This window comes from Homo sapiens, chromosome 12, assembly GCF_000001405.40.
Source record: "Homo sapiens chromosome 12, GRCh38.p14 Primary Assembly".
In the NCBI taxonomy this organism is placed as follows: domain Eukaryota; kingdom Metazoa; phylum Chordata; class Mammalia; order Primates; family Hominidae; genus Homo; species Homo sapiens.
The window spans coordinates 104,642,914-104,661,635 of record NC_000012.12 but is presented as its reverse complement, the minus strand read 5'-3'; the positions used below and the strand labels follow the sequence as shown (position 1 = coordinate 104,661,635).

Genomic DNA, 18,722 nt, shown 5'->3' with positions numbered 1-18,722 from the left:
TTCCTAAATGTCTACCACATGCTAAGCGCTGTTTGCTGCTTTTTAAAATGTGCAGCGATGGTGCCACTGCACTCTGTTGCCCAGGCTGGAGTTCAGCAGCGCCATCATAGCTCACTCAAAGCCCACCTCAACCTCCCAAGCTAAGTGATCTTCTCACCTCGGCCTCCCAAGCTGCTGGGACTACAGGTGCATACCACCACATCCAGCTAATTTTTTGTATTATTATTATTAGTAGTAGTAGTAGTAGTAGAGATGGGGTATTACCATATTGCCCAGGCTGGTCTTGAACTCCTGGGCTTAAGGAGGTGGAAACACTAGTAATCTCCAGCGATCTACCCGCCTCGCCCTTCCAAAGTGCTAGGATTACAGGTGTGAGCCACTGTGCCTGGCCTGTTTGCTGCTTTTTACATATTGTCTCATTTAACCCCACTGACAAATGAGGCAAGAGCTACTCCTTCCGTTTTTATGGATGAGGAAACTGAGTCTCGGAGAAGTTGTCACTTGCTCAGAGACACAGAACTCAGGCGAAGCTATGTCAGGATTTGGGCACAGGTGAATCGCTCTTCTCATAGATTCAGCTACATCACCCTTCCCAGGCTCATGGCAGTCTGGAAGTGGACAGAGTGGATCGAGCTGAGGATGTGGTCATCTAGGCTCATTTCTCTTGCATGCTGAGCCCTCAATAGCAGCAGAGATGTCACAGAAGGATGAGAACCACAGAAACCCCAAATGTAAGTAGTTTAGACTAAGACCCCTTTGAACTCCAGCATCCTTTAACTATAACTCCTTCCCTGTATTGCTCCACCCAGTGGCCTCAAATCTTGGGATTGATCAAGATTGCAGGTGGAGCTAGACTCAGTTTTCATAAATGTAAGGTCAAAGAGGAATGGCAGATACGCACCCCTTTACAAGAGCTGGGTTTCGGATTTTCTTCTGAGAAGAAGGGGGTGTGAAAAAGGGCCTGGGATAGAAGGAGTACACTTCTATCTTCACAAGGCTCCTGTGAGCAGCCAAGTCCAGGAGAGGACCTCAGCCGGGATGGAAATTTCCTTCGGGTCTTTCTCTCCTGCTGTTTGCACACAGTGTTCTCTTTCACGGGCCTCCTCTGGCCTATGAAATGAGCTTTCATGTCCTCCATACAAAGTTGGTTTCTCTAATGTGCTGAAAATAGAAGAAACTACCATAGCCATGTTTTCCCTTGGGCTGAAGAGCAAGACGGTGGCTCTGCCATCAAACCCAGCCATTCAGCTGGGGGCCCACCTGCGCCAAGCCCGTGGGCAATGGCAATGCCGCAGAGACCCAGTGAGCTAAAAACCCAGCCTGTAGCCCTTTCCCTGAGCTTTGGGAACGAAAGACTTTCCTCTGGTCCTGGCGTGGTACCCAGGAGACCTTTCTGGGGCTAAGAACAGAGCATCTGTACAATCAAAACAGCATCAACAAGTATTTTCTGAGCATCTACTGTAAAGCCAGGATCTGGGCTAGGTGCTGGGATACAGCGATAAGCAAAACAGATGTGGTCCCTGGAGCGTCTCATTTCTAGTCTAGCCCAGTACAGTCCAATAGAAGTATAATGTGAGCTACATATTTAATTTTAAGCTTTCCAATAGCCACAATTTTAAGAAGTAAAAGAATGAAATTAATTCGTTTTCTTTTAGAGACAGGGTCTCACTCTGTTGCCCAGGCTGGAGTGCGGCAGTGCCATCATAGCTCACTGTAACCTCAAACTCTTGGGCTCAAGCAATCCTCCCACCTCAGCCTCCCTAGTAGCTAGGACTACAGGGGCACGCCACCATACCCAGCTAATTTTTAAAAATTATTTGTAGAGATGGTGGGGGCGGGGGGGGGTCTCACTATGTTGCCCAGGCTGGTCTCGAACTTCTGGCCTCAAGCAATCCTTCTGCCTTGGCCTCCCAAAGCACTGGAATTACAGGCATGAACCACTGTGCCTGGCCATAATTAATGTTAATAATATATCTTTATTTAACCCAACATACCTAAAACATTTTCATTTCAACATAAAATCAATATAAAAATTATTCATGAGATCATTTACATTTTTTGGTACTTATTCTTCAAAATATGGTATGTATTTAACCCTTACAGCATGTCTCAATTCACACTCGCCACATTTCAAGTGCTCAGCAGCCATTTGGAGCTCAGGGCTACCACCCTGAGCAGCACAGCTCTGCACTGTGGGGATGGAGGATCGGGGCAGTGATGGCTCTTGGAGATCCCCGGAAGCTCTTAGAGATACGGAGAAGTAATATTATCACCAACGATCATATGTCTTGAGCAATTATCATGTGCCAGCCCCTCAAGGAATCCTCCCTAAACAACCCTAAGAGACTGTCACCCCACTTTGCAGATGAGGAAAGTGAGGCACAGAGAGGCTACATCACTTGCCCAAAGTCACACAGCTAGTCAATGCAGAGTCTGTGATGCAGAACACAGAGCTGTGCTCTTATCCATGGCATCATCCCAGTTCTTGAGCACGGATCCAGACACATCACATGTTAGAACCCATTCCTCTGAGCCCCTCCAATGGTGCTCTTTTTTGATGGAGATCAAGTGAGAGAACGTTTTGGGAGCCCTTGGTAAGATGTGAAGGGCTTCAAGTGGAATATTACGCCTATTAAGTGAAGTAGAAGTGGTTTATAAAGTATCCTCTGCAGCCAGACTGCCTGGGTTCAAATCCCAGCTTCACCACTTACTAGCAGCGTGCCCTTGGGCAAGTTACTAAATCTCTCTGTGCCTCAGTTCCCTTGTTTATACAATGAGAACGGCAATAGAGCCTATTTCAAGGGTCATCATGAGGATTACATGAGTTAATAAAAATAAAATGCCTAGCACTTTGCTTGGCACCTAAGAAGCAACTACTAAGGAGTAGTTATCATTATTATGGAGCGAACAGGGTACAGATGCGGGGGTTATTGGATGAGAGAGTCTGGGAGGAGGAGAATGGAAGCAGAAGGTAGGAGAAAAGCCAATCATCAAGGCGCTAGGAAGTGCCAGAGTTACGGTCCCCAGGGCTACCTCCCCCTCTCCAGATAAACACCATGGAATGTAAGGTACACGCTGTCATGAATTAACTGTGTCTCTCCAAAATGCACATGCTGAGGTACTAACCCCCAGTCGTTCAGACAGTACCCTTATTTGGAGATAGTGTCTGCACAGAGGTGATCAAGTGAAAATGAGGTCCTTAGGGTGGGGTCCCAATCTAATGTGTCTGGTATCATGACAAGAGGGGGAAATTTGCACAGAGACACAAGGAGACTGCTGTGTGAACATGAAGGTGCATCTACCAGCCAAGGAGACAGGCCTGGGACAGCCCCTTCTCTCATGGCCTGAGAAGAAACCAACCCTGACCACACCTTGATCTTAGACTCCCAGCCTCCAGAAGTGTGAGAAAATAAATTGCTATTTAAGTCCCTCGGCCTCTGGTACTTTGTCATGGCAATGATTGCAGACGCTCATCCTGCCTCCTCTCCTCACCAAGAGGCACTGCAGGTTGGGGGCGGCATAGGGGGCTCTAAGCCAGCCCCCGCCCCAGTCCACACAGCATGCTTGTAAAACTCTGAGTATCCTTGGCTGGCTGGCCTCGGCGGGTCTGTTGCAGTGGAAAACTACCCAGGAAGGTGGGCTGCGTCCCTGAACACTGCTCACTCTGTTTCCCCTGCTACCTTCAAAATCCCCCTCCGTCAACTGAAGGGGAAATAAAGCGTGTCTTTATTCGGGTCCAGGCTGCCTTGGACACCCTGCTCCAGCTTGAGCCAAGGCAGACACAGATGCTTATTGAGCAAGGTTCTCCCTATGTTCCCGACACACCACACTGGAGCCTGGGGACCCTCAAGAATGCAAGTCCAGCCATCGGAGTCCAGAGCGTGAAGGTGGAAGAAGCTGTCTAGGTAGCCAGCGCCACCATCACCTGGGTATTCAAACACATGGGGCACTTGGAAAAGTACAGAGAAAATCCTTCCAAAATTCCAGCAATCTGAAACAACTACTGCTGATTTTCCAAGCTGTGAAATGGAACATGCATTATTTCTCCCATGCTCTTCAGAGAAAAAACATGGGAGCGGGGCTGGCCTGCAAATGATCTCGAGGGTTTTTTTTTTCATCTGCCAGGGAAGAAAGAAGTGCTGTGGCTCCCAGATCAATTCTCCATTCCCAACAAAGGCTGGGTGAGAGGCGTGATCCTGAAAGACTTATACTTCTCTCCATGAACGGCTGTTAAAGTTTCTAATCAATCATGTCTCTCACCCAGGAGAATTAGCTAAACATAGCAAGGCTTGTATTTTAAAACACAAATCGCTGACAATAACTTAAAATGTGCGTAAGTGGTCATTTAGGGTGAAGGATGTGAAAACCTTTAAGGTTTACTCTTTTTGTTTCGCTCCCAGAGATGAGAAGAAAGACATGCAAATAGTGGATTGAAGATGCTTGCTAAACCAGGAAATATGATTCCCCTTGACTGTTAGGTAACAGGAAAAACAAACTGGGATGGCAGCATGGGCTTGGGCTGACAGCCCGGAGCTGAGGCTGGGCTCCATTGCTTCCAAGTTTTCTGGCCTTAAGCAACTCAATTTCCCAATGCCACGCTTTCTTCATCAATTTAAAAAAAAAAAAGGATGAAGTTTGATCAGACGATGCCTGAAGGTCTTTCCCAGCATGCTGTGCCTTTGTAAGGAACACCATATCTTAGAAACATTGAAACTTCTGAAGTATGAACTAGAGGTAGGGAACTGGGACTGTCACCTCTGTAGCCTTAACACCTAGATGGGGTCATTGAAAGCTTGTTGAACAGAAAGACAGTAAACAGCAACAAAAAAAATAAGGATTTGGTCTTCCTTTCTCCTCCACTGTCTCTGGCTTTAAACCAGCAACCCCCCACTGTGGTCACGAAGATGGTTTGTGAGTGTGTATCTGTGTCTCACTGGCTGAGGACAACATCCCAACATCCCATGAGCAAAGCCGGCAGGGGCTACTTGTGCGTTAGTGAGACCAGTCGCAGTAAGTCTGGGGCTGGGAATGTCCTGCGGTGCAAATTCCACAGAGGCCAACGAAGAGTCACCGCATGCACGCTGAGCTCTGCCAGCATGCCATAGTTGGCTTCATAGGAGATGACACGAGATGATAAGACTGGATCTATGCAAAGTTACTGTGGCCACCTGAGACGGAGCCTGAGTGCTGTGCTCAGGTCAAGGCACTATCTTTAGTCTGTGAAGACAGACCCAGGGCCTCATCCCAGGCTGACCACCGCACCTCAGCAGTAGGGAGCCTGATGCATCACTTGGAAAAAAGATAGAAAATGAATGAGAAAAAAAGAGGAAAAGTGGGTGGAGGGGTGATATGCGGCTAGACTTTGATTTAATCCAAAAGAAGTGCTACAGCAGGGTTGCTAATTACCTACCCAGCATCTGGTCTTCCCTCTGTTCCTCACTCATTTGTTTGATTTGATTCGAGGTGGACACCAAATTTCCAAATCTCCCTACCAGTGGCCAACTGACATAGTTCTACGCAAAGAATTGCAATCAGAAATCTTTTACGGTTTGTTCGAAAGTCTTGCTTTCTAGGTCTAGGAACTACCCCTTTCGTCTTGCTTACCTTCCTTCTTTCTGCTGCCTGGAATCTAGACATGACGGATGGCACTATAGCAGCTATCTTGGAACCAGAGGAAAAAACTAAGAAAATCATAGAGACTTCAGCTCTGCCATTTTTGAGCTGCTGACTTAAAAGAGTAACTCCAACTTTGACTTCTTGCAACAAGAGAGAAAAACACCCTGAATTTACATAAGCAACTATACAGGGAGCGGGGCAGAAGAACTCTCTGTCACCTATACCTGAATGGGCCCACCCTGGTTTATACACGAGCACAGCACCCCTTTTGTACTCAGGGACTTTTTAACTCAAATGTGTTCCTTAGGTTCAAAATGATTACATTTCCACTCCCTTCTTTACCCACATCTCTTACCCATTGCTCGTAACACTGTTTCTCTGTTAAACTGACTCTCTGGTATATCTTTCTGAGCAACAAGGAGTGAGGCAAGGCAGCCCCACTTTTGCTAGTGAACTCTGGCCATGAAAAGCAAGGAGGCTGTCCCTTACTTCCCACCACCTTCTCCACCTCCCCAGGACTCCTGCTCCCAAAAGGAAAGTCAAATTCCTCAAACCTTTGCTGAGAAACCCCGGGATCCAGGATAAAGGGATGCTGGGGGGAGTGAGAGCAGTGGTGGAATCCATCCCTAGCTATCCTGCCGAGGCTGGAGGGGCAGAGCTGCCTTCACACTGGCATCTCACGCATCAATCAGGAAAGAATTAAAAGAAATGCTGTGAAGTGGAAAATACCTGCCCGCGCCTCCGGCGCGAAGGTCAGGGGGATTTGTACTGAGCAGCTGGAAGCCCGCTCTAGGCTCTGCGAAGTCGCTCACCCTTCCACCAAAAGCAAGGCATGCAGAAACCTTCCCCGTCAACTTGACAAAGCCCTCTGCCATTTCCATCAGCTATTACTGGACATGAATGTGCCCTCACCAACCACCACTTTCTGAGTGTTTCCCAGAATTCCATGAAGAGATAAGAGAGACACAGACAGACAGAGATCCAAGACACACATGCAAACAGCCAAAGGATGAGAGAAAGGAGAGCTACATGTGTGTTCCTTAAGTGCCAGACACAGGACCAGATGCTTCAAGTTTCTTTCATTCAGTCATTATAATGAGGATGCTATGACCACTCCTGTTCTGGAGATGGGGGAGGGGGTAGCGGCCTGGTGATGACTTCATAGCTAGGGGGATGTTGGCAGTGGAAATAAATAGAAAGCAGGGGTGGAGGGGCTCATGGTTAACTCAGTTCACTTCTGTGGGGAGGCTAGAGGTTGGCGTCTGTCTGCGTGTGACCTTGCAGCATCCAGCCTCAGCTATGAGCTGGGGTTAGCAGGTACAGTTCCTTGCTCCTGGTGAGTGGACAGGCCGAAGTCTCTGGAGCACTGGGCTGGGGGCAGGGGGTGGCATGGGGGACATTACCCCCCATAGGAATGGCAAAGCAAGCTTCCCTGCCAGGTGGACTCCTCCTCTGGACTCTCACTCTGTGCTGTGTATTACCACCATGGGGAATCCAGGGACCCCAGGAGTGACCACCCAGCAGTGCACTGCACTGTCCTCACTGCACAGCCCTCCCCCATGTTTCCACGTCCTTGGTCACTTCCTACTGTGTCCATGGGTGTCTTTCTGTGGATCTCATCATCATCCTGTTGAGACAATCAAGCAGCTTCTCACGCTCTCAGCCCTACACCTTCTTATACAACTGTCCATTATACAACTGTCCAAAGAGGACTCAATGGAAAATTTTTGGGTTCTACCAAGTACTGGGACCAGCTTGGATGATTCTGAACACCAGGGCTTATTTGTCCAAGACTCCAGTGACTGCAGGTAGCCTTGGAGCTCCCTCCCCCGACTTCCCTGGCCCTGTATTCAAAAAGCTCCCCTTACTGAAGGCAGGGCCTTGCCTTCTAGATCACCTCTGCATCCCCGGCACCTAGCACATAGGAGGTGCTCAATACTTGTGGGATGACCCTCTTCAGCCTGACACCCATACAGGGTTCCATTACATTCTGCAACTGGGAAACCAACCACATATCTACGGCTTGCTCGAGACCATGGGGCAGAGGTGGTGTCGGGGACGTTTTACTACCCTGGGAAAAGAATCTTGGCCCCCTGCAGGTGAAATAGAAGCACAGCACCCGTTTGAGGTTTTTCAGTCTAACTACTGCATCTGCAGTTCAGGAACCTAGAGCCAGATGGCCAGGGTTTGAATCCTGGTTCTGCCACTACCTGCTACATGATCTCGGGAGGTCACTTAATCTCCTCGAGCCTCCGTTCCTCACTGGAGATAATGTTAAGTTGATGGAGAAGGTTTCTGCATATAGGGTTGTTAATGATTGAATGAGATCACATAAGATGGAGACACAAATACAGACATCAGACCACTGTCAGGCACATGGTAAGGGCCCAGTAAACATGGGCTGTTGTATTATGGGGTGGCTATGATGGTGGTCCACATTTAGTTTTCACTCAGTGGGAGACGGCGTTTGTTTTCTTTCCTCTCAGGTACTCGGATTCACTCATACTGCCCCTCCATGAGTACACATTTTAGCACTAAGATAATGGGGTACTGTCTACCACGCAGTAGGTACTCAGTACTTGTTAAAGAAGGGTAAACTCTGGTGGAAGAAAGCCAAATGTCTATGAACAGATGAATGGAGAAAGAAAACGCAGTACATATATCCAGTGGAATATCATTCAACCTTACAAAGACGGAAATCCTACCATGTTACAACATGGAGGAGCCTGAGGACATTAGGTTAAGGGAAATAAGCCAGTCACAAAAGGACAGATACTATATGAATCCACTTATATGAGGTATCTAAAAGCATCAAACTCATAGAAACAGAAAGTAGAATGGTGGTTACGAGAGGCTGGCGGGCAGGAGAAATGGGGAGTTATTGTTCAAACGGTATAGAGATTCCATGTTGCAAGATGAAGCAGCTCTGGCGAGCTGTTGCACAACAGTGTGAAGGTACTGAGCTCTACAGAACTGTACACTTAAAAATGGTTACGATGGCACATTTTAGGTTATGTGTTTTTTACAATTTAAAAAAAAAGCTCACTGCCTCCCTAGATGGAACGAGTGGTCATTAGGCCCAAGGTGAAGCAGTTTGACTAAGATGTGCGTAGGGAGTGTGTAGGGAGCGTGTAGGGAGCAGAGGCCAAGCAGGGCAGCCTCCCTCTTCGCTGGCCAGGATGAGACTGTCCTGAGCAAAGCCACTGGCCCCTTGGGCCAGCTTCCACAGGCAAACAGAGGTCAGGATCGAAACCAACAAGACTCATCCATTAGCAGCTTCATTTCAACCCGGGAGCCCTGTTGGGGCTTCGGGTCTTCCCCCAAGATGAACAGGGTGGCCCTTCCTGGGCTAGGTTTGTAAATCACTTCCTCTGTCTTGGGCCTTGGGAATGTACCACTTTCCTCACCATGGCTGGGAAAGCAAACAGTAAATACAGCTGCAATAAAATAGCATCTAAACCATTCCAAATCTGAGCTCTGTTCTCCAGAGGCAGTCCAGCAAAATACACATCAGTGATCATTTGTGGGGAAATTGGAACAATTTCCGCCTGAAGACATGCTGCTCCCGTGACTGTCTCCTCACCTTGTCTTGAAACTTCTGATTTTCTTACAGCCACTCAGGACCTGGGACACGGCCTGAGCTGCTGCCTGCAGGAGCCCACGGGCTCAACTCATCGGGGAGCTGCTTTCCTTTGTGTAATTAGATCAATTATCCCGCTGCCGACAATTACCATCATTGTCCGTGCCATTTTTAGTTTATTTGGCAGTTATTCTTCTCATCTAAATCAAACTACAAGTTTGATTGCACTGAAAATGTAAATGATTGTTAAACAACACTAAAAAATCTTCACATTTTTCCTGAGTCTCTAAGAGCTGGGGGTGGGTGGGAAGGATGGAACGTGGCATGGAGCGGCGACTGCATTAGGGACAGTCACACAAGCCACCTCCTTTGTGCCTCACAAGCCTGCTAAGTGGGTATAATTATCCCTGCTCAGGAAAAGTATCTTCCTTGTCTAACGTCACCCAGCCAGGAAATGCAGAAGTCAGGGGCTGTGGCTCATGCAAGGAAAGAATGAGAACGAAATGTTAACTCTATTAGATGAGGTGCAGTTGGAGAACCCTGCAAGGGGATCTTCCCAAATGCATCGATTGGGAGCTTCTCAGAGCAGCATCCATGCATGAGAAAAGAAAATGGGTCGGGTTAGCAAGAGCTGAGATGGGGAGAAATCAAGAGGCAGTAGAAAGCAGGAGGCATTTTTACAATTACGCGCAAAGAGCAATAAAAAGCAAGAAAAGGAAAAAGGGTGCTGGGCTGGGAATCATAGGCCCTGGTTTTGTTTCCTTAGAACCTTCTAGAATGGCCTTGGGTGGGTCACTTCTGGTCAGTTCTTCTCAAGGCACAAAGGAGGAGTGACCAGGGGTCAAGGCCAGAGAATCCTAAGCAGGACTGGCCCCCAGGTCAAGGAGAGGCTGAGCAAGAGAGGTCTGGGCTTCTCCCACTCCTACCCCAATCCTTTTGGCGAGGGTTCCAAGGTAATATTTTATTTAAGCTGTTTTTCTTCCGAAAAACAGTGGTGGGTAACACTGTTGAGGTGTGCAGTGATGAACGGCACGGCACCTCCAACAGAGTAGGTGTTCAATACTTGTTAATTACATTATATGCATCCAAGCAGCTTCCAAAGAAACAAACCAGAGTGTCACATTCTTGGCTCATATTAACTTTTTCAGGGAGAAGCCACAGATCATCTTCATGTGAACTGATGCCAAATTGCAAATCAGGTCTCTTACATCTGGTATTAATTTTTTAAATGCAAATAAGCAATGAACACAAAGTTTTAGGTTAATTTAGAAATTAATCTGATGGTGATGTGCTGGATGGCTTTGGACCAGGAGATGAATCGGCAATTGGGCCACCAGACTGAGGGTCTTGAAAACGTCTGGGTATCAAAGGTTGGCTTGGCTATTTGAAAATGGGGCTAAAAATTAGACATAATAATAATGACTAATAAATACTATGTGCTAAGCTCTTCACAAGTATTAAATCATTTAACACTTGCAACAACCTCATGAAGCAGGGTGATTATTATCTGTGACTTGCCCAGGATCACAGAGGGCAGGATGCAAATCCAGGCCCTCTGGCTCCCACGTCCCCATTCTTAACCACCTCCACACTGGCAAGGTTCTTAGCAATGCTGGCTGAGGAAGCACCTGCTGTGTGCAGGATCCTGGGCCAAAGTTCACCCCAAGTGCTATTGTGCCTCTCACGTTTTAGGCTCAGATCAAATTCCATTTCCAATTCCAGCCTATGTGGAACTGTCCATTGGCTAGCAAAGCCTTGGATGGGTGCCTGGTCACCTCTTTAGTGCCCTGGAGACTTTGTGAACACATGGGCTGCCCACCCCCACCATCATTTCCTCCCTCCTGTGTCCCACTCCCCCTCGCACTGTGCCCGCGTCTCCAAAGTGAATAAGCAGAGAGTTCTGGTGACCCTTCTAGAGACTCCTCTCATAGACATAGGTTCTAATCAGTGAGATTAACTTGGCAAGCATCTGAGCATCTCAGGGTTGATGAGGTATTGCAATCATGGCATCCAGAGTTCTGAGGTATAAACAGATAATTCTCTACCTGGTAGAAAAACACAAACAAATCCGCCAAACCCATCAGGTTCCAGCTTCAGCTCAAGGAGAGGCTGACACAAGAGTTGGGCCAAAGTCTTTGGAGACTGTGGGCTTTTGGCCACTCTCCAGCCCATCCTCCACCCTGTGACCTCCCCAGCACAATCTCATCAAGTCCACTTTTCCATTTCAGGAAGCATCCAAAGGATATAGACCAGAGAAGTTCCTAAATTTTTTGCTACACATCCAGTGCTGAAGATAGAGTAGGTAATTTTCATTATTGCAAAATACCAAGTGTAAAGTAATGTCATTCTGTTGCAACTCTCTCCCTCTCCCCTGCCCTCTCTGACTTCTGCCAATCCTTCTCTCATCCATCCATCTGCACTGTGGGGGAAATTTTCTTCTAAAACCAAGTAATTGATGGAGTGCCCTTTGGGTGCCCAGAGCTGCCAGGGCACTGTTTTCAGAGCCACCAGGGGCACTGAGGGATGCCAGTGTGCCTCGTCTATCAGCAGCAGTCTCTGCACAATAATTTACTGAGCTCTCCAAGGTGACTTTATTATGTGAGCTCACCATGCTGAGTGCTGCATTCCCCATCCCATTATTTCAAGGGATCTTTTCCTCACTTCTTGCCTACTTTGTATGCACTGACACAAAACTCATAATTTGCCAAACACACTATACTCTGACTCCTGGGCAGTTGTTCAGATGAGTTGGCATGCTAAAGATTTTCTTCTCTTCCTTCTTCTTTTTAAAATTATTGCTCCACTGTGGAAGAAGGCATTGAAAGCTTCATACAGAAACCACATTGGTTCGCCTACTCCCCCTTAGGTTGGTCTAGACTGCTTTTAGACAGAAGCACTTGGAGTTTAGAGTAAAACAGACCTGAGTTTAATCCTAGCTCTACTACAGATTTTGTGACCTCAGGCAGATACTGAGCCTTTCCAAACTCATTTTTCCTTGCCTGAAAGAGACTCATAATAACATGTGCCTAACAGATTGGCTGTAAAGATTAGAAATTGTATGTGTTAAATGCCCTGTAATGTAATACAATGCCCTGTACATGGAAAAGACTTAACACAGGATAGCTAATATTGCTGTTAAGATTATTATTAATAATAAAATTACCCCAGATCTACAATAGGGCAGGAGTCAGTAACCTCTGTTCCGATACACTGTTCTGTGTCTTAATGATGTTCCAAGAATATTGACTGAATGTGTTGGCTTTCCCATTCCCTCATTTTCCCACCCCTAGCCCCATCCATTCCCCACCCTTCTCTACTCTGCTTCCCCCATCCCTGAGGCTGATTCCCATCCTACATCAGCCGGGCTCCATGCTGGCAGCTGGCTGACCTCTGTTTCAGTTTGGCCAACAGGAGGAACCAGCAAGAGGACAGAAAGGAAGAGAGGCAGGAAGGGGAGGTTGATTGGAGTAAGGGTGTATTTCCCCTGCTTCCACTGCAGTTCAGGCAGCTGTCACCCCGGCTCTTCAGGCCTCAGGGTGACAATGGCTCATCTCTGTTGCCAGTTTCAGGGTGCCTCAGATCTTGCTGGTTTGCTAGTCCCTGCTCAGATCTTTCTTTTCTATTTTTTTTGAGAGTCTCGCTCTGTTGTCCAGACTGGAATGCAGTGGTGTGATCTCGGCTCACTGCAACCTCCACCTCCTGTGTTCAAGTGATTCTCCTGCCCTGGCCTCCCGAGTAGCTGGGATTACAGGTACACACCACCACACCTGGCTAATTTTTTTTTGTATTTTTAGTAGAGATGGGGTTTCTCCATGTTAGCCAGGCTGGTCTCGAACTCCTGACCGCAAGTGATCCACCTGCCTCAACCTCCCAAAGTGCTGGGATTATAGGCATGAGCCACCATGCCCAGCCCCCTGCTCAGATCTTTATAAGTGGGGCCTTCATGAGAGTCTCTGAGTTGATTTTTGTTTCCTGCCAGACCTTGCTAACCTACCGAACCACGATGACCATCCCTTCAGGAGATGGTCTGTGAAAATGCTTAAAGGGAATGGTCCAAATGGGAGGCAGCTTTGGGTATGGCCCCAAAATGACTCTGCTCCTAAGTTGTAACTTTGAAACTCTGGTTGGACTAAGTGAATTCAAATGTAGATCAGGCACTTGTTCCACATCAGGTACCTAAGGTTTTCGGGAATGTACGTGCCCTATGAGAGTGAAACAGTGGAAACAATATAGATACCCAACAAGAGGGGACTGGTGAAGAAGCAATTATTGCAGAAAGAGGATACACAGTAGTCAGCCTCTGAGGTGTCTCCAAATAAACTTCACCTCCTTGTATTCATACCTTATGTACACATGCTCTCAAAACACAATAGATTGACCTATGTGACCAACAGAATACCATGCAAGTGACAGCATGTGGCTTCTGAGACCAAGTCATAGAAAAGGCATATCCTCCACCTGCCTCTTTCTCTCAGACCGTTCACTTGGGGAAGGCAGCCACCATGTTGTAAGGACACTCAAGCAGTCTAGTGGAAAGGCCACGTGGAAAAGTACGAACTTGATAACCATGTGAGGGCACCACCTTGAAAGCTCCAATCCAGTCTTCAGATGATGGCAGCCCCAGCCAACATCTGACTACAGCCCAAACCACAGACCCCACACCACACATGTCCAACTAAGCCACTCTCAAATTCCTGACCCACAGAAATCAGGAGAGATCACGATTATTGTTAAGCTGCTAACTTTTGGGGGGATAGAGCATACCAATAGATAACATATATATATGGAAATATCACACAGAGGTAAAAATCTTATTTTGAAACGATATTTAGCAAAGTAAAAAGTACTCACAATCTTTTAAATGAAAGGAACAAGATAGAATATGTGATCTTGTTTTTAAAAAAATGTATATTTTTATATATTCATCAAAAAGGCCATTGTTAAATGTTTACAATAATTACCTTTGAGTAGAGGAATTAAAGTCCTTCCAATTTTCCTTTCAGTCTTTCTGTGTTTTCCAAAATGATCATTTTTCTTTGAAAAAAATATAGCTAAAAAAATAGATTTCCTGGCATTTTTTAAATGAAAATTTATTTTATATCAAAGGCAAGTGTTTAGCTCTGGTTTTCAAGAGAAGCCAGTTGGCTTCCATCAGGAAAAAACAAAGATGTCTACCTTGCATGCTGCTGCCGGACTCTGACAGCCACACAACAGCAGCCACCCGATGGCATCCTCCAGAGAACCAGAGAATCGTGGAGGTAAGAGGGACCTTCAGGAGCCTCCACTTGCAGCATCATGACAATGGGCTCTTTCTTATCCAGGATCTTATTGAATACTTCCTGTGATGGGGAGCTCACCTCCACATGAGGCAGCCAGTCTATTGGCTGGCAATGCTCATCATTAAAAGTGTATGTGAGAATGAATAGGCATTCCTCTTCCTGTTGATCACTTATTGAACACACACAGAATGAGTGGCTGGTCTGACAGCAGGTACTTGGCTTTGCTCACTGTTGTATCCTCAGCAACTAGCATGGTACCCAGCACAGAATAAGCACTCAGGGATTATCTGTGGAATGAATGATTGAGTAAATGAATGGATGAATGAATAAGTAGTATTTATCAGACACTTTAGGCTCTGATGATTCAGCGCTGAGCCTGGCACATTGGTCCTGGTCTTCACTGAGCTTAGAGTCTGGGACGGGAGAGGGGTGCAAAGGAAATAATAAGTTATTTTGTCTTTTTGAGACGGAGTCTTGCTCTGTCGCCAGGTTGGAGTGCAGTGGCGCAATCTCGGCTCACTGCAACCTCTGTAGTCAACTAGCTGGGACTACAGGCACGTGCCACCATGCCCAGCTATTTTTTGTATTTTTAGTAGAGGTGAGGTTTCACCGTGTTGGCCAGGATGGTCTTGATCTCTTGACCTCGTGATCCACCCACCTCGGCCTCCCAAAGTGCTGGGATTACAGGGGTGAGCCACTGCACCCGGCCAGAAATAATGGTTTAATCACCACTACGATGAAGGTGAACTCCAGGGTTCCATGAGAAATCAGTTTAGGGAGGTTAGGGAAAGGTACCCTGAGAAAGCAACATTTAAGACAAGGTCTGAAGACTAAGTAGGTGTTGGCCAAGTGAAGTGGAGGTGAGAGGAGGAACACTGCCAGCAAAGGCCACCAAGAGGTTGCAGCAAGAGAGAAAAGGAGGAGGAGAAAGTGGGGTGGAAGCGAGGCATGGAAGGAGGGCAGACTAACGGGATGCGGGGAGTGGATCTCGCAGGGCCCTGGAAAGTGGAATAGAGGATATGAAATGCAACTTCTCCCCTGTAGGGGAAGCCAGCATGGGAGCCATTACCTGGGTCCATTCACCAGGGAGGCACTGGCTGAGCCGGCAGCATCCTGCATGCGGGACTCAGAAAGAAATCAGGGGAGGGGCTAGTGTGAGCAAAGCGCTGGAGAGTATGGTGCCATCACCAAGGTCCCCAAAGAACATGTTTGCTGAAGCCACCATGATGACGAGCTTGATCATGACAGGCAGAGCTGGTGAGGGTGGAAGAAGAGATGATGGCCCCACTGGGAGCCACACCCTAATTTGTAGGTAGATGGATACCCTTTAGGATAAAGAGTGGTGCTCTGTCAACTCATCTTATTTGGTGCTGTTGTTTTTTCTTGTTTGAGGTTTGTTTATCCTTTCATTTCCTAGTTTAATTTCCTTTTAATAAAGCTCTAATCTTGTCTTGGCTCACCTAATGGGAAAAGGGATTAGTCCACAGCTAAGCCAAGGGGAGGGTGGGGGGGAAGGACTTGGAGCCCTTGGAGGCCAGGACCAGCAGGGGAAGGTGAGTGGGTGGGAAGGGCCCCCCAGAGCCCAGGCAGACAAACAGCAAACTCAGAAGGGGCCAAAATAAAGACAACTGCGGTGCCCACCCCCACCTGCAGGTTGCTTTTCCAACAAGCCCAGCTGGGCTTCCAACACAAATATTTCTTGCAAAGCAGAATAGGAGGCCTGAGCTCCAGTCCTGGCCCAGCCCCCTGGCTCTCTGTTGGGTCAGTTCTTTAACTTCCTGAGCCTCAGTTTCCTCACCTGTATGGTGGGGATGAGAATCACAGATTCCACCTCAGAGGATTATTGCCAAGTACCTGGCTCAGAGTGGGTGCCCTCCAACCATGGGAACTATTATTATTAATTTAAAAGTGGAAGGCCGGGCGTGGTGGCTCACGCCTGTAATCCCAGCACTTTGGGAGGCCGAGGTGGGCAGATCACGAGGTCAGGAGATCGAGACCATCCTGGCTAACATGGTGAAACCCCGTCTCTACTAAAAATACAAAAAATTAGCCGGGCGTGGTGGCGGGTGCCTGTAGTCCCAGCTACTTGGGAGGCTGAGGCAGGAGAATGGCGTGAATCTGGGAGGAAGAGCTTGCAGTGAGCCATCATGCCACTGTACTCCAGCCTGGATGACAGTGCAAGACTCTGTCTCAAAAAACAAAACAAAACAAAAAAAGTGGAAGAAGGCTCGCTGCAGTGATCTGTCCTCAGGTTTCATGCAGATAAGCCATGGGCCTGTTCCAGCACAGGGCTGGTCTCTACAGCAAATCCTACCAGCTCTGCTCCTGCACTATCTTCCAGACTGAAGCCTCTAAGGGGTCTCATCCCAACCCTACTTTCAAGGGACAGATCTGAGATGGAGGTCCAGCCAGTCTTCCCCTACCTACACTGGTCAGTCTGCCACCGGGCTCTGAGACAGAACCACCCCAGCTGCACTCTGCCTGCCAGGGCCAGGGCCAGGACTCAGCCAGAGACTCCAAACCTGACCCTCTTCATCGCCTCCCCAGTGCTGCTTCAAGGATTTGAAAACCAGAAGCAGGAAAGCTCCCCTAGAAAGAGGGCATGCTGGCTTGGCAGGATGCCCAGGCAGCACCACGCCAGCTGCAGGGAGCCCAGGTGTGTCTTTTTGGCAGATGCAAGCAGGGCCACTCTGCCTTTGAAGAAAGAGGATTGGCCACACGTTAGACACTGAAGGCAGGAAACAGAATCTGGCCTCAGTGAGGGCTGGAACCAAGGAGAAACCACTTACAAGATGGCTGAGGAAAGACATCAGTAGGGAGGCCACCGAGTGGAATCATAAGCGGTGGAGAGTCAAAAGGCAACCTGAGACGAAATGCAGCAAGTGCATGCGGGAGTCCACCCAGATGCAGGGAAGGTAGGGGGTGTCCAGGAGCTTCCATGGACAGATATCCAGGAGGTGCACGCTGGGAGGGTGGCTGCGGCAGAGATTTCCCAGCAGCCTCTGAGCAGCAATAAGCACAGTGAGGAGGAAGCAGAAGTCCCTCTCTTCAGAGGAAGCAGTTCTCCATCCCGTGAGCCAATCCACAACTGGCCGGACAGCTCCTTGCAGAAACCGTCCAAGAAAAGCAGTCTCCACTAGCAGATAGCAAAGGCAGAGAGACCTAAGAGGTTCCTTTGTTTGCTAACTGCACCCCTAAACTCCAGAGGAAATAAGAAAATTCAAATTGCTTCCTCTTGGTACCAGAGGAATCAGGTTTGACAAGTCTCTTTATGAGATGACAGCTGAGAAATGTTCTAGAGAGGTCCCTTCTTACCCTGGGTTAAAACAGTGAAGTCTTGGCTTTCCAGGAGCTGGAAAACACGCTCATGAGACCCAGACCAGATTCTCAGGCACAACTGATGTTTCCATCCCTGATCTAGAATAAGCCATTCCAGGCAAAGGAATTTTCCAGATAGGAAAAACTCCTCAAGTGCAACAACAAAAAAAAGTCATGAGAACTTTGTGTGTGTGTGTGTGTGTGTGAAGAAAAAGTCTCTGAATGTCCTCTTAAGTTCCTCAAATGGAAATCCCCTAAATGTGCTGGAGTTCTTGAAAAGAGCATATTGGAAGAAATCTGTTACTGATAATCCCACACAAACACGCTACCCACTACAGTGGCACACTGCCCCTACCATGGTACAGAGGGAAAGACTTGGACTTTGAAAACACAGGGTAGAACCCCATCTCTGCATCTGACGTATCTAACCCTCCAAACTTCTGCTTCCTCATCTCTAAAATGGGTGGTGAGGAGCAACAACAAGGTTTGCGGTTTTTTGTTTTGCTTTGTTTTAAGAGATAGGGTCTTGTTCTATTGCCTAGGCTGGAACACAGTGGCACAATCATAGCTCACTACAGCCTCAAATTTTTGGGCTCAAGCTATCCTCCCGCCTCAGCCTCCCACAAGTAGCTGGGACTACAGGCATGTGCCGTCATGCCCAGCTAATTTTTTAATTTTTTTGTAGAGACAGGGGTCTCACTATGTTGCCCAGGCTAGTCTTGAACTCCCAGCCTCGAGTGATCCTCCCGCCTCAGCCTCCCAAAGTGCTGGCATTACAGGTGTGCACCACCATGCCCAGCCTACAACACGGCTTTTTGAGAAGTAAATGAAATGTACAAAACCTGCATGTAGTGGGCATCTAATTGGTATGACAATGTGTTCCTTAAAATACTTTTGAAAGTAATTAGTAGTTGAAAATAAACCTTAGT

The 18,722-nt window shown here is 47.6% G+C and overlaps 1 protein-coding gene across 4 annotated transcripts in view, besides 2 other annotated features; it reads right to left on the bottom strand.

The window, feature by feature from the left end:
• Nucleotides 1-18,722, bottom strand: part of CHST11 (carbohydrate sulfotransferase 11) — a 305,067-nt gene that overhangs the window by 100,379 nt on the left and 185,966 nt on the right. The gene's annotated exons all lie outside the window — the stretch shown is intronic.
• Nucleotides 17,423-17,472: an enhancer, noted in NCBI's record as "active region_6929". NCBI's record gives its function as "activates an Ori minimal core promoter by ATAC-STARR-seq in GM12878 lymphoblastoid cells {active_cell/tissue: GM12878}" and the evidence as "EXISTENCE:reporter gene assay evidence [ECO:0000049][PMID:35858748]".
• Nucleotides 18,370-18,419: an enhancer, noted in NCBI's record as "active region_6928". NCBI's record gives its function as "activates an Ori minimal core promoter by ATAC-STARR-seq in GM12878 lymphoblastoid cells {active_cell/tissue: GM12878}" and the evidence as "EXISTENCE:reporter gene assay evidence [ECO:0000049][PMID:35858748]".